This window comes from Homo sapiens, chromosome 2 (assembly GCF_000001405.40).
Source record: "Homo sapiens chromosome 2, GRCh38.p14 Primary Assembly".
Classification (NCBI taxonomy): domain Eukaryota; kingdom Metazoa; phylum Chordata; class Mammalia; order Primates; family Hominidae; genus Homo; species Homo sapiens.
The window spans coordinates 238154162-238169568 of record NC_000002.12 but is presented as its reverse complement, the minus strand read 5'-3'; the positions used below and the strand labels follow the sequence as shown (position 1 = coordinate 238169568).

General features: G+C 59.4%; 1 protein-coding gene across 1 annotated transcript, besides 2 other annotated features; it reads right to left on the bottom strand.

The window, feature by feature from the left end:
- Window positions 1–678: 678 nt before the first annotated feature.
- On the bottom strand, window positions 679–10599 carry ERFE (erythroferrone). The gene is made up of 8 exons (NM_001291832.2): window positions 10364–10599; window positions 7853–7975; window positions 6731–6833; window positions 5570–5832; window positions 5386–5494; window positions 5209–5299; window positions 3885–3963; window positions 679–2613 (listed from the first exon to the last, which is right to left on the bottom strand). The coding sequence occupies exons 1-8, from the start codon at window positions 10559–10561 to the stop codon at window positions 2515–2517; spliced, it is 1065 nt and encodes a 354-aa protein (NP_001278761.1). The 5' UTR covers window positions 10562–10599; the 3' UTR covers window positions 679–2514.
- Window positions 5911–6411: an enhancer, noted in NCBI's record as "H3K4me1 hESC enhancer chr2:239071799-239072299 (GRCh37/hg19 assembly coordinates)". NCBI's record gives its function as "activates a minimal SCP1, AML or CMV promoter by ChIP-STARR-seq in primed H9 embryonic stem cells {active_cell/tissue: H9 hESC(primed)}" and the evidence as "EXISTENCE:reporter gene assay evidence [ECO:0000049][PMID:30033119]".
- Window positions 10552–10621: a silencer, noted in NCBI's record as "silent region_12487". NCBI's record gives its function as "represses an Ori minimal core promoter by ATAC-STARR-seq in GM12878 lymphoblastoid cells {active_cell/tissue: GM12878}" and the evidence as "EXISTENCE:reporter gene assay evidence [ECO:0000049][PMID:35858748]".

Genomic DNA, 15407 nt, shown 5'->3' with positions numbered 1-15407 from the left:
GTAAGATTCTAAAAATTTGCGTTTTCAGAATCTGTTTTGTAATGTTCCCTGGCCCCCACCCAACACACACACATGGTTTTATCACCCAGTTGATTGAGTGGAATTGGTATCCATGCTGCGAGGACCTCAGTGGTAAAGGCTTCATGTAAACCTTAGATGCCTCCTGGGGGTCTGTTGTGTAAAAGCCACAAGTAAGAACTGAACGAAGTGTTGGTGCTGCCCCTTCCTTCCCCAGGGAGTTTTAAGAGCCAAGTACCCATTTCAGTTTGAGGACTGGGACATTGTACAGTGTGGCCTCATTGAAGAAAAGAGCCCTGGCACCCCAGAATCAGGAAATAGAACCATTCATTTGGTAACTATCTTCCTATAGCAAACCAGGTGTTTGCACACTGATGTCTGTGACTCATACATCCCTATGTCCCACTGTTCCCGAGAGGCTTGACCCTAGTTTCCCAGGAAGGTTCACTCCCAGCCTTCAAGGGAGTCCCTCCCACGTAGAGGCTGGAGGCCATCTCCACTTCACCTTCCAGGTTCCTCCTTACTGTGCTTAGTTTAGTGAACCTGGGCTAAAGGATTGATTCCGGATCTTAAGGTCTGCCTTTTGTTTTGTAACTGTTGTGTCACATAGTTCTTAAGTAAGTACTTGAACCACCCCACGAAGTCAGTTATATAAATATATTCCACTTGGCAGTATTTATTAGACAATAAATACTTTAATAAATTGCTGCATAACACACTGAGAAAAATGAAAGAGATGTGGATATGTGGCTTTTACAAGAGTGAAAGATAAGTTCTCTAGAATATCTGTGCCCAGTGGATACAAAGTGAAATCTAGATAAGGGCGTGGCCACATCACCCCCTTATCAAAACACACGGATGCAGTACCCAGGCCAGCCCAGTACTTCTAGGTAGGGTGGGTGTGAGTCCTACTGAGAATCGCACCAGGCCTTTCCCAGGGCAGAGTGTTTGGTTTTTGTGTGTTACTGCACTTGGGGATGGAGATGTTTGATTCGATGTTGGGGTTTGGAAGCTGGGCTCCTGGGGATCATTCGGGCCTGGTGGCAGCCACCTCATCCGGAGGCTAGTTAGTTAGAAGGTGAAGGTGACTGGCCATTGCTCCCTTCTCTCCCAGGCCTGAGCGCCCTTGCCAGACCAGCTTGGCTCCCAGGAGGTCCTGAGGCACCAGGTTCTTCGTAGCCTGTTGTGTGGGGAGGCAGTGGGTTAACTCTTCCTCAGCAGGTAGGAGGCCCTGGAGGTCGCTGCCGAGGGCCTTGTCCTCTTCACTACCTACTCTGGGACAGTCCTGTACTTTGGGGAAAATGTGGGAGGCTACATTTGAGGAGGCTGCGGGCTCACAGCCTGTGTGTCCTCATGAGAGCTGCCGTCCCCATCCCCAGGCCCCATCACTGCCACAGGAGCACAGCAGGCTTGGGACCAGCCCTCCCAAGACCACCCTTTCTCGGGACCATCTCTCGTCCACCACCTGTCCAATGTCAGCGCCGCATGGCCACCCAAGTGGGAAAGATGCTTGGGAGGCTCATCCCAGAGCCGCTGGACCCAGCCAGGCCCTGGCACCCCTGGTGGAAGACTCTGCTTCAGCTATTCGGATGATGGGTCAGCAGGCCCGGCTGTCTCCAATCTGTAAAGACGTTCTAGATCTTTCCTCTGGTGGGTGGCTCCTACCAGTGAGTCAGCACCTCAGAGGGGAGGGGAAAAGGGATCTCATCCACCTCTGGAGAGGGTGGAAGGGGCCTTGGCTGTGAAGATTTGCAGAGGAGGGGAAGAGTGGAGCTCCCATTTGGAAAGGCCTTCTGAGGTGAATTTGTGAGTTAATCTTGCACACATTAGAACTAGAAGCTGGGCCCAGACTTACTGTCCCCCAAAGGCCCTTGTCCAGTGCCCCTCTGGCCCAGGCTAGGCAGTGCTCAGCTCCACTGGCAGGTAGAACACGGTTAGGGGAGGGGCAGGGAAGACCAAGGAGCCCAGATGGAGACCAGGGGAGTGGTGAGTGACCCCGTCCCTTCTAAGCAGTAAGAACACACAGCGTACGTCCCTGTGGCAGCCCCCTCAGCCCTGCGTCAGCTGACCCTCTCCCAGGTAGGGGCCCTGGCTGGTGCACTTTGCACTCCATGAGAACATGAAGAGAGGTGGAAAAGGTGGGGCTGGGCACAGGAAAGACGCAGAGGCCATCTGGGCAGGTGCTGAGCAGGCCAGGAAAGAGTCGGCCTGCAGCTGGAGACTAGCAGGTGCCCCCAGGCACGCCGACTCTTTCTTTCCTGGATAAGAGCCCAAGATGGTGTCCTGAATCAACCCTGGCTCCGGGACCACCAGCGTGCGTGTCACGTCCGTAGGCCTGCCTGCAGTGGCTCTGTGGGCTGAACTGCAGTGGCCAGTGTGGGCAGAGTTCCGGGTGGGCCTCCTCCTCCATGTGGCCACTGCTACTCTGACACTGTCCACACATTGTCTAGATCTGTGCTCCATTTGCCCCTGAGAGGAAGGGCCTGTGGTGGCCGCTCACACGCCCAGGAGGACAGCACTGAAGTGGGAGCCACTGCGCACTGTGAGGGAGCAGCCGCTGGCGTTGTCCAAGAACACGGAGGTCCACTGCCCCATCTGCAAGGAGGGTGCCTTTGAGGCACTGGGCCACCCCAACAGCCTGCAGAGGTGACCCAAGGGCCAGCCAGCCACACTCCCTCCTGCCCACTCAGCCCCGCTTTTGGGAAGGGCTCAGGCCCAGAGAAGAATGTGGCCGCCAAGGTCACAGAGCAAGGGCCCGCACGGGTTGGGCCCCACCCAGCACCTCTTCTGCTTTCCCTGCAGCGCCCTACAGTTCGCGTGTGTGGGAGTGGGCCCCTGCTCAAGGCCAGAGTGGGATTCAAGAGTCCAACAGGTTTCTCAGCTGCAGGGCTTCTCAGAGCCTGCAAGGGCTCCAAGTCAGGTGGGAGGGTGGCCCTTCCCCACAGGCAGTCATTTGGCAGAGCCTTCCGTGAAACCAGCACTCTAGCCTGGCTGCTCCAAACGTGGTCATGCACCAGCAGCGTGGTCATGCACCAGCAGTGTCACATTCCCTGGGAACTCCCAGAAATGCAGAATCTGGGATCCACCCAGACCTGCCTCAGGATCTGCATCTTAAGATCCAGGTGGGGCAGAGACCATCTGAGTTCACCAAGCATGCTGTGTGGCACCCAGAAGGGACCTCTAAATGCCTTTCAGCAAGCACAGACTCTGGGCCAGACAGCCTGGCCTCCATTTCTGGCTCTGCTGTGTGAACTTGGGCTAACTCGGGGAGTAGCTCTACCTTCTCCAAAGCTCTGGGAGAATTCAATAGCAGCTGTTATTCCACACACCTGCACTCAATTGTTTTCTTTGTTAGTAAATTCCACCTTTATGTCCATTTCTCTACCACTTGCCAAAATTCCCACAGTGCCAGAGATGGTCACTTAGGGTTTTGGGTAGGAAAATAACGTATCTGGCTTCCCATAGTCACAGGGGACTCAGGGCGTCAGCCTGGGCAGAGTGCTGGCCTCCATTCCCTCCCTGCACCAGTCCCTTCAGCGGGCTTGTGGTGGCCAGGAGTACTGGGCCTCAGGATGAGGTGCTCAGGGAGTCTGAATATTGGGAATGCAGAGCGGAGCAGCTGCTCAAGCGGGCAGGTGCCCTCGGGGAAGGGCTGTGTTTGGAGGAAGGAGATCAGGACTTGAAGCCTGGCTGCGCCCAGACCAAAGTGAGAACTTGGCATGTCCTGGACCCTCTCCCAGGCCTGGAGTCTGAGGGTGCTGCACCCGACCCAGTGATCCTGAGCATCTAACAGCACCCTTCTGCACCCAGCCACCCGTGGCCATGCCCAGGCGGTGCCCCTCGATGCCCAAGCCTGCCGCACTCACCTGCAGGTACAGGACGCCATTCACAGAGATGGTGAAGAGCTCACTGCTGCTCTCCAGGCCCATGATGGCCTCCAGGGAGCTGTACCCAAAACAGAGGGAGGGTCAGCCTGCCCCATGAGACCCCACCAACTTCACCTACGACACACAATCCTGCCAGCAGCCAACACATGCCCAGCAAAGTGCCTGACCCTGGCCAGGTCTTCCAGTGGAGGTGGTGTCTGAACCGAGTCCCCAAGAGGAGGAAGGACACAGGGCCAGAGGCATGCTTGCTGTATTGGGAAAGGCAAGGCGAGGGCCCAGCAAGAGGCAGCAAAGCCCTGGCTCTGATGGGAAACAGGACACTGGCTGATGCAGCCGGAAGTGGGGATGTGGTGGCAGGTGATGCTAAGTTAGTTCAGGCCAACACACTCTGGGGGTTCAAAGGCAGACTAAGAAGTTTTGGACTTGATCCATTCATTCAAGTCTGCTCCAGCTATCCTACCCGCAGGGTATCTCCGCTGTACCTGGGCTCCCTTCTGGGTGTGGGGAGACAGGGAGCTCACAGTCACTGCACTCGTGGGCCAGATGGTGCAGGAGCAAGGGATGCGATCATGGGGAAGAAAGTTCCCGGGTGAGGAGTGGGAGGGCGACTGAGGAGGGGGCCTCCAGAAAGCTGTCTGGAGAGGCCTCTTGAAGTAACACTGGTGCTTCGAGCCCCAAGATGAAAGTCCCTGAGGTGGGAAGGAGTTGGGAGGCTAGGAGGAGCCCGGCCTCCTAGGACCTGGGGAGGAGGTGAAGGTCTGGGCAGGGAGTGGCCTGGAAAGGTTTTTTTTTGTTGTTGTTGTTTGTTTTTTTGAGACGGAGTCTCGCTCTGTTGCCCAGGCTGGAGTGCAGTGGCGCTATCTCTGCTCACTGCAAGCTCCGCCTCCCGGGTTCACGCCATTCTCCTGCCTCAGCCTCCCAAGTAGCTGGGATTACAGGCACCCACCACGCCCGGGTAATTTTTTGTATTTTTAGTAGAGACGGGGTTTCACCATGTTAGCCAGGATGGTCTCGATCTCCTGACCTCGTGATCCGCCCGCCTCGGCCTCCCAAAGTGCTGCGATTACAGGCGTGAGCCACCGCGCCCAGCTGGAAAGGTCATTTTTAACAGCTCCCAGTTGCTGTGAAGGGAAGGCCTGATAGGGGCAGAAGTAGACCGGGAGACCTGGAAGAAGGTGTGGGGTCACCTAGGCCACGGTGGGGTGTGAACGGGCGGAAGCCCCGTCCAGTGCCTGTTTAACCACCTCCAGCTTGTGGAGGCCGAGCGAATGCGGGTGTGGGGTCCGGGCCGGGGTACACTCACGCGTTGCGCTGGCACCGGGACTGGATGCAGATGAGCAGGCGCAGGTGGTCCCGGGGGCGCGGCGGCCCCCTCCTCGGCGGCTCCCCGAGCGCTGCGGGGGAGGGTGGGACGTGGTCAAGCGGGCGGGCGGCGGGGTGGGCGACAGAGCGGGCGATCCTCCCACGCCCCGGGCCTCACCCACGTGCAGCGTGGCGGCGAGAGCGTAGAAGCCAGCCACGGGCGCCCTGTACTGGCCGCTGGTCAAGTTCAGGCCCGGGCCGCGGCGGAAGGCACCCTCGGCGTCGGGCTGCGAGGGGCACGGATGGTCACCCCGGCTCCCGCCCGGCCGGACTCACCCGCCCTCCCGCGCGCCGGCACTCACCAGGTAGTAGACGCCAAGCTCGTGCAGCGCGCGCCGCTCCACCAACGCGTCCCGGCGCAGGCGGCAGAGGAAAGCGGCCTCCACGCGCGGCGCCCGCGGCCCCGGGGCCAGGGGCGCGGCCAGCAGTGCCAGCACGTCCCCCACCACGTCGTCGTCGTCCTCCCCGGCGGTGGCCGAGACCGGGGCGAGGCTCGCAGCGACCGGCCCGGCGGGGCCACACGTACAGGGTTCGGGCTCCGCGCGCTCCCGCTGCCGCACCGCACCTGGCACAGAGCGAGCGGTGGCCGCGCGCCAGGGACCCCTCACCCGCCCGCCGCGTGGGTCCAGCCCTGAACGACAGGTGCTAGCGAGACCAGGGGCCTGCCGGGCGCAGGGGTGGGGCGAGGGCGACGTCCCCTCGGCCTGAAGGGCCTCGGAGTCTTTGCGTCCTGACCCTGCAGCGGCTCCCGTTTCCCTCAAGATTTGGGAAGCTCGGGCAGAAGTGCCCCAGCGCCCTTGGCCTCCAGCCTCACCTCTACCCCACCCACATTTTCCAAAGACGCTGGGGGTAAAATAAGCGATTGCAGCTTTACTGGAAGTACAAGGAGGTTCTTCAGCGCAGAAGGTGCTATATTTAAACGAACAGGACATTGAACTAAAAGGAAAAAACGGCTCAATTCTAATGACTAATGTGAGCCGCCGCTCTGCAGGAGGCCTCAGTGTGGACTCCGCGGCTCCACTCAGCCCTGCCTCCTCCAGGGCAGGCTGCCCCAGCCCTGGCCAGTGGTGACTGTGGGTGCCAGGCTGAGCTCCACCTGGTGCTGCCCCATACACTAGCCTCTGCCTTTCGCTGGGCTCTCCTGACTTCCAGGCAGGGCATAGGCGCTGGTCCCTGAGCACCCGCCATACTGAGTGGCCAGGTCCACCTTCCTCTGTGAAGCCTTCTCCTGGCCATGGTTCCCAACCCCCAGCCATCCCCAGCCCTGACCCTTGGCAGACATGGGCCAAGATGGGGCAGAGACTGGACCTGGCCAGCTCTACTGTCCTTGAGTCCAGCCCAGAGCAGGTGCCTCCTTGGGTGCCCGCCGAAGTGTTGAGGTTGGCCCTGTCAGCTCCTCGGGACACCCTCCCAGGCCCTGCTCACAGCGGGGTGTGTGTGTCCCAGCCGGTGCACACCCCTACCTTTCAGCAGCAGCTGGAACTCCTTCAGCAGCGCCTCGGGTGGGATGATGGGGCCTGGGGGGCCCTGGGGACCGGGAGGCCCAGGGGGCCCTGGCAAGCCGAACTGAAAGGGAACCTTGGCAGTGAGGACATGTGAGGAGCAGGCTGGGAGCCACAGCATCCCCTGTGCAAGCTCTTGCCACTAAGAGGCAGGCAACAGAGCTCCCCAGTGGGCTCCAACCTCCAGCCAAGGATCTACCTCAGTGAAAGCTTCTCCTGGAGTGAGTACAAGGACTGTGCTGGAGGTGGGGGCCCTCGGGGCGGGGCTTTGGCAGGGAAGGACTCTGCTCTGAGTGGGGAGGCAGAGGGCTGAAGCCCGCTCCTGCGGCCAGGCCTCGTGGAGGGAAGAAGACTCTAGGCTGCTTTTGGGGACTTGCATCTCAGGGTCTGCACTGGGCCCGAGTCCACCATCAGCAGGTCCCCACTAGGCTGGGTTGGGACCCGAACCAGAAGCCAGTGAGCCCCCTGTGGGGAGAAGCTTAGGGCAGGGCCAGGAGGCTGGGCAGAGGTAGAAGGCCAGGCCACGAGGACAGCGCGGCCTGTGCACCTGCCTCATGCACTCCGAGCTGGCCTTCCATCGTGTGTTCAGATCCCAGGCAGGTGATACTGGCCCCCAGGGGACAGAGAAGCCCACACCCCGTATTTTCCATTTTGGGGGCTCCAAGCAGGAGGCAGCACCAGGACCAAGCACCAAGTTTCTGCCCAGGCCAAGACCTAAGGCTGAGTGAGGGTGAGAGGGACCCTGTGCCCCTAGTCCCTGGGAGCCAGGCACTCCTGCAGGCCCCTCCAGTGTGGACAAGGTTCTCACCACAGCCTGGGCTAGCCCAGCCTCCCTGGCCTGGATGCAGAGGGAGGAGAAAAGAGGGAGAGCCTGGCATTTTAGGGGTGTGGGGAAATGGTTGGGACCAGGCCCCTAACTCGGGGCTCCCCCTGGGGCTGCCTGGGTTCTCTCTGTTCTCTGTCCCCAGGCCGAGGCGTGAGGGGTGTGCTATTGGAAATGTTCAGGATGTAGGAGTGGGAGTGGATGAGGAGCGAGGAGGCGGAACCCCCCACGGCCTGGCACTGACGGGATGCCGGCCTCACCTTCAGCTTCTTGGCCTTGCCCCTGCTCCTCTTCTTGCCATTGACACCCTTGTCACTCTGCCTGACGAAGAGCATCCAGGCGTCCCGGGGGTCGACGCTGTGTGCACGCTCAGCGGTGGGCTCCTGGAACACAGCCAGCCCAGCAGGGCGGTTGGCCTCACTGGGCTCCTACCAAGCAGGTGGGACACTTTGCAGGAGGTGACTGTGTGGCCTTCTGTACTCTGGGACCCTGGTCCTTGTCACCTGTGGTGCCCTCAAAGGCAGCTCCCAAAGGGGCCCCAACCCCTCACAGCTTCTCCCCCGGCCCGTGGAGGATGACTCCTAGGGAACGGGCCACACCTCGGCCTGGACTTGGCACTCATGGGAGAGGCAGACCCAAGATGCCTGGAGGGAAAATGGGGTGCAGGGCTTGGATATCGGGGTGAATCCCCGTACTGCTGGGCCTCCTTCCTCCAGAGGAGCTGCAGTGATCACACCGTCCTCCAGTCACCAGGAGGATCCGACCACTGGAGCACCCATAGGTGCTCAGGAAGAAGCAACTGTGATTATCAGGGAGCCCAACTACTAGCCAACCCTCCTCTGTCCATCCTCCCCCAGTGTCAGAAGTTCTAAGGAGGCAAATTCAGCTCTCACAGCTGCCTCGGGTTACAGTCCAGTGGGGGAGAGGACCAGGCGAGCTGTCATGACGCGAGGCCTCTGTGTGAGACTTTCATTTCCTCAGCACTTCTGAGACACTGACACATGGACAGTGATGCTTCCGGAAGTTCCCATTCCTGTCCGCGCTGCATCCTGACTGATGCTGACACTGAGCACAGTTTTGGGAGGGACCTTCCTGGGAGAGGCCTTGGGCTATCTGGGCTCCAGGCAAGGCTGCCAGCTGGGAAGGAAACCGGCCCAAGAGGGCTTAGATGAGGTCATGGGTGCTGACGCTGGGGGCTGACGGAAGGACCCTGGGATTTTAGAGCTGACTGGGCCCTTTTATCAGAGACAAAGCCGGCTGCCAAGTCACTGCCTTTGGTTCCTGGCTGATCTGGGGGGATGCAGGGCCTTCTTTTGGGAGCTGGCTGACCAATGCGCAGGCCAGGGTGTTGTGGTGGGAAGATGGGGGCTGCGGTGCCGAGGAGCCTGTGGTTGGGCGGAGAAAGGGTTCAGGGGCCCAGGGCCCTCAGCGCTGCTCAGTGCTTCCTTGTGCCTTAGAGGGTCAACTGCACCACCTGCTGGCTGATCTCCCCTCTACCCCCTCCCAGGACCCTCTTCCACTTCCTGTGTGCCCTCCGTGGAAACATGGGGCGAGGATGCCGCACACCGGCCAGGAGGGGTGTGCCCAGCTGACCCTCCCAGCTGCACCTGTGGCCTGTGGCCGGACCCTGACCCCAGTGTGGTTTGCAGGTAGAGCTGTAACAGGCAGAAGGTGGCGTCCCAGGAGACGGCCCCAGCAATGGGGGTGGGTATTGGGCAGCTGCCCTGGTTCCAGCCACAAGGGGTCTCTCAGAAACAAGCCTTGGAGCCTGGGAGGACCTCTGGTGTCACTGTGTCCCCCACAAACAGGGTCCAAGGCCAAAACTCCACCTGGAAGCCCCTGAGCCCCGTCTGCCTCCTGCTGACAGTGCCCTGACATTTGGCTGCTGTGCCCACCTGGGTGGTTTGGCCAACTGCACGGGGAGGGGGTGCCTTCAGTCCCTGGGAAGTGGCTGGGTGTGATGGGGCCGGGATAGAGAACTCTGGGGGACCCCAGGCCTGGCTGCACCCCTGTCCTCTCTAGTAGATGCGTTCCTGGCTCTCCCCTCTACTGCCCCTGAGCATCTTCAGAATAAACAGCACCGGCCGCCCACCCCGGCTTCCCTGGGGCAGCCCTGTCTCCCTGACCCAAGGCCCGGCCACACTGAGGGCTCCTCTGAAGTTCTCCCCTCCTCAGGCCTGGGCCACACCTCCCCAACCGGACCACCCTCTGCTCAGCAGTCCAGGCTCCAAAACCCTGGAGAGGAGGGGGCAGGGCAGAGCTCAAGATCACCCACTCACGGCCAAAAGCCACCTGATCACTTGACTCAAAGCCACATGTCATTCCCCACCCTGCACAGCCCCCCGACCCCAGATCCGCAGGAAAACACTTTTTGTTTTCCAGATAATTGCACCAAATAGATTGGGGGCGGTGGCAGTAATTCGCTTACACTTTTTACAAATGCGTTCTTCCCAATTTCCTCAAATCAAGTTATTTACACTTTATCTATTTCCCAACTTCCTTCTGTCCCAAAAGAAAAGGGGGGTTTCGCCGACCTAGTAGAACCTTGCTTTAAGTCAAACTACCCCAAAGCCAAAGTCAAGGCTGCCCCGCCGGGCTGAGGGCGGCGTCTACACGGCCCTGAGTCTCTGCGGAGCCCCGGAGCCCCGGTGCCAGGCGATGCAGCAGCCCTCGGGGGTGAGGGCGGGCTCGGCCTCCACGTCCGCCTCCCGCCGCCCCGAGCCGGGGCGTGCGGGCGCGGGCTGGGTCTGGAGCGGGCCCGGGCGTCTTACCGGCGGACGAGCGGCCGGCCCCGCGCGGCTCTCCCCGGGGCCCCGGGGCAGCTCGTTCCCGGGCGGCGGCTCCCTGCGGGCGCGGCTCCTCGAGGGCGCCCCAGGCTCCGGGGACCCCAGGCCCGCGGCGGCGGCGGCCAGCAGGCCCGCGTAGACGAGCAGCAGGCGGGCTCCGGCGGGGCGGCGGGCCGGGGCCATGCGGGCGGCGGTTCCCTCGCGGCTCCGAGCGCGGCGTCTCGGACGCCCCGGGCTCCTCGCCTTATAACGCGCTTGAATCCCCCGCCTCGCCCGAGACCGCGCGCCCGCCCGCGCCCCCTCCCGGCTCCCGTGCGCGCTGCATGGGGATGGGGGGAGTGTCCGGGCGGGGGAGGGGGAGTGGGGGAGGGGGCACGGGGAGCGGGGCAGGGCAGGGAGAGCGAGGGGTGTTCCCCTGCTGGGCGCGTCCCCCCTGCAACTCCTGGTTCTGGGATCCCTCCTTCGCGCTGTCCAGCGCTTCTGCTTCCTGGGGAGCGAGGCGCCCCTTCTCCCAGCCCTGGACCCTCGGCCCTCGCGACCCCATTTTCTTTGCGGGGAGCCAGGCGCTGCCTCCTCCCAGACGGCTCGAGGCATCCTTTCTCCCCGCTCTGTCCCCCACGTCCTCTGCAGGGACCCCCGAGGTACCCCCTCCCCATTCTCCTGGCTGCGCCCCGCAAGGCCCAGGCCTCTATGACACAGGTGGAGCAAATCTGAGCCGGGAGACCCTCAGGGCCCCTTCTCAGCGCCCCTTTCCCAGGCGGGAACTCCCCTTTCCAGGCCGCCCTCCGTCCATGGCTGGCGTGCTCTGAGCGCAGGGATTCACTGTTCTTCCCCACCTGTCGCACCTGCCGGGACCCAGAAGACGCAGGGAGCCAAGAAACAACTCAGGACAGCCGCCCTGCCCTGGTGGGGCTGAGCGGGGCCTGGGCTGGGAGAACTGACCCCTATCGTGCCCTAGCGGGGGTGTGGGGGCAGACCAGACCGGAAGCCAGGCTGCCCACCGCCCACCGGAATCAGTGCCCCCAGAGGTGGACCAGACCCTGCAGGCCTCGGAGAAGGTGGCAGAGAGGCCTCTGGGCGGCCCTACCAGGAAAGAGCCAGCCCCAGCCCCACCCTACCCCTGGCTTTGTTATATCGCATGCCCTTTTGACTATCTGCCCCACCACTGGACGCTAAGCCGAGGAGGGTCGCACACTTGGCTCGCTTGCCCCACCCCCGAGGCACCTGCCCCTGGTGGGTACACAGTGCTTTTTGTTAAAGAACGGGAGAAGGCTCCGCTGGAAAAGTACCTTACACTCACACCGAGGGCTGCTGTTCCCGGGGAACTCTTTTGAGAAGAGCCCGCTGGGGAAAGGAGGCCTTACCCTGTCCTGGTTCACAGGATGTGGCAGCAGGGACTGAAAGGGGCACCAGCAGCCGCAGGTGGTGCCCCCCAGGCTTGGGGATGGGCCAAGTTCCGTCCTCAGATGCAAGCTGGCCTTTGTCGCCTGCCTTTTCTGGCCACTCATGCGATGTTCCACCTGGCTGGCCTCATGCCTGGCAGGTGGGGAAACCAGGAAATACTTCATACTTTAGGAAAAGCATGGGATCAGAAGGTAATTATTCCCTGTGATTCCACCCCTTTTCCCATAGGATATGGGAATGGTGTAGAGTTGGGTGGGGAGGACGTTTAAAGAAAAACATACCCTGCCCAGCATGAGAATCTGCCCGGCAGGGGTAAGTCCCATGGACTTACTCTGTGAAGATGTCTTTCAATGGCAGGTGAGGACACAAGAGGGAAGTCCTGCCTTTAAAAGCCACAAATGGGCCAGACACGGTGGCTCACGCCTGTAATCCCAGCACTTTGGGAGGCCGAGGCAGGTGGATCACCTGAGGTCAGGAGTTCGAGACCAGCCTGACCAACATGGTGAAATCCCGTCTCTACTAAAACTACAAAAATTAGCCGGGTGTGGTGGCGAGCGCCTGTCATCCCAGCTACTCAGGAGGCTGAGGCAGGAGAATTGCTTGAACCTGGGAGATGCAGGTTGCAGTGAGCCGAGATCACACCACTGCACTCCAGCCTGGGTGACAGAGCGAGACTCCGTCTCAACAAAAAGCCACAAATGATTTTTTTTTTTAAAAAGACCAATACAATGAAAACATTTGAATTCCTATAAAACATGCAAGTCTTTAAGACACATTTGAGAAATATGAGAAACACTGGCTTAGGTCATATGTGCCCAGCAAGATATCTGAACTTATTTCACCTGCAAACATTCTGCAGGTTTGTCACAATTAAGGACATTTGCTCCCAAAATCACGCATATGAGGGAGATGTCTTAAGGCCCTCAGAGAGTGAAGGGTTTCTCTGGTGGGTTTTCATGTCTGGTTCTATTGGAATGTCTGTTAAGAAGCCTGATGTGTGGAACTTTGTCATGACATGTCTGAATGTGACATGCACATTCGGTGTAATGTGTTAACATTTCATTCGGTTTCACTTATTCAGAGGGACTGTATCTGTGGACCACAGGACCCTGGCGTGCCATGTTCTCCTGTACTCTGCTGGTAGAGAGGGGCTCCTGTCCCCAGGAGTTGCAGCTGTGTGAATGGCACCTTCTTGCTTCTGGAGAAGCTCATCCACACCAGCACCTCATTTGATTCCCCACCAATTAGCCCAGAGAGGTGGGCGGCTTGCCCAGGACGCAGCCCATGGGCAGAGCCGGCGTGGGGCTGCAGAGGCCCTCCTGCCCACTGGACAGGTTACATCTTCACGGCCTTATGTTTGGCTTGTTAGGGTTCCTCCTATTCTAGTTGGTGTGAAATAAGAGGTGCGTGATGAGTTGGAGCATTACTGCAGAAAACATAGCCCCATCTTTTCCCTGTGAGGAATGGGCATCCCACAGGTCTGAATTCCCTCTGGGGCCCTGGCTGCAGCTATGGCTCAAGGTGGATGCTGTTTGGCCCCACCCGAGCCCTGGGAAGGTGATGCTCAGGCTCTGCCACCGTCGGCAACACTGAGGATACGCAGGGATGAGGTGCCCTGATTTGGGGAACATTACCCTTAAGATACTAGTGTGATGTCATTCCACTTCGCAGTGGGGGGCCCCAGCTTTCAGGCCAGCATTGAGGACAGGAGCCGTTGCCATGTGAAAAAGTTATTTTCCCAAACAATGAACAATCCTCATGATGTCATGGGCCCTGCCAGAGGCCCAAATCCAATCGGTTCTGGTGCTGGGGCAGCCTCCTGTAACACTATCCTGAGAGGATGACTCCGCCTGGGTTGGGGACAGAGAGCAGAGAGGCCGGGGGTCTTCAGGTGGGGCCCCTGCATGTGTCTGCGTTCACATTTCAAAGTGGCTTTCACTCAGAGGAAGGTGGAGCTTAGCAAAGAATTGCGCAGATCAAGGAGCAGCAGAAATGGGGGCCTCCCCCTGCAGGAGCAGCCCATGGGTCAGAAGTGGGGCTGGCATCGGGGTGAGCCAGGACATCCCAGGATGGAAGAACTAAATGAATGGCCACAGAACGGGGATCACTGGAGCAGGAAGTGGCCTCCCCCATGCGCCTTCACGCCTGGCTGAAATCTAATCCTCATTCTTGGGCCCTCATGTCACGGCCCGGGCCTGGCTTCCCAGCAGCCTGATGCAGCCAAGCTGTTCCCACTCTTCTCTCTTCCTCCAGAGGAAGGACCTTTGCCGATGAAGTCATGGGAATAAAACCTCCCTCTGCCCTGAAAACAGTGGGACCGTGAAGTCAGCTTGTTGTGTGGCCTCCAGAGGCCCAGGCGGGTAGCCTTCGCTGTTTACTGGGCCTTGCAAGCCCACGACGTCATCTAATTTGCAAATCGTGTGATTATCCCCATTGCACAGATGAGGAAACTGAGGCTCAGATCTTGGGATTGGCCCAAGGTCACAGAGCCAATAAATGAAACCACATCCAGGTCTGGCCCCTACAACTTGAGGTCAGTTGCTCTGGAGAACCTACAGATTTAGTTCAGTTCAGTGAGCATTTGTGCAGTTGTGCAGTTCCCATGACGTGCCGGCACCAGGCCGAGCACTCGGAATACATTGTGGCCTCCTGCATGGGTGTGTGGGCAGTCTCGGGTCTCTCGGGAGACAATTCTTTCTCACTCCTGCCCAGAGGGTCTCTTGAGTTTTCTGCTAATTGTCTACATGTTTTTAATAGATTAATTAAAATAATCATCTTTAGCTCTCCTCTCAGTTGAATGCAATGCCATTTTGGAAAGAATCACATTCTTAAATGTGACTGTGATCAAAATCGTCTTGGCTTCTGAGGGAGTCATGATGTCTCCTGGGGTTTGTTCCAAACAGGATACTTCCCCCATGGAGATTCCTGTCCTAGTCTACCTCAGTCTCAGTGACAGCCACACACCTGGCTGCCCTGCCACGTACCTGGTGCTGCAGAGTCCGGGAGAAGCAGCCACACTTCAGACCGATCAGCTGATACCACGCCGGGCACTGGGGAGGGACGGTGAATGACACGGCCCCGGAGGTGCAGCATCTTTCCTGTGTACGTGGCTGTGCCCTCTCTCCTTAAGCCATTGGCACATTCTCCATCCATACACATGCTTTCAGCTGGATCAACTGATGGCCCAACCAACTGGAGTAGTGGCCTGTATCCTTCTGTTTTCTTGCTATAAAGGAAAATGTGAGGCTGGGTAATTTACAAAGAAAAGAGGTTTATTTGGCTCACAGTTCTGCAGGATGTACAGGAAGCATAGTGCCAGCATCTGCTTCTGGTGAGGCCTCAGGAAGCTTCCACTCACGGTGGCAGGGGAAGGGGAGCAGGTGTGTCACACAGTGAGGGAGCAAGGGAGAGCAGGGGAGGTGTCAGGCTCTTTAACGATCAGCTCTCCGTGAACGCACCAGCGTTACTGCACCATGCCATGCCTGAGGGATCCGCCCCCATGATCTAAACGCCTCCCACCAGGCCCAACTCCAACACCAGCGATCAGACTCAACAGACTCAACATGAGATTCGGAGGGGACAGATCTCCAAGCTATGTCATGGTCTATACTGACTATGGAAAACT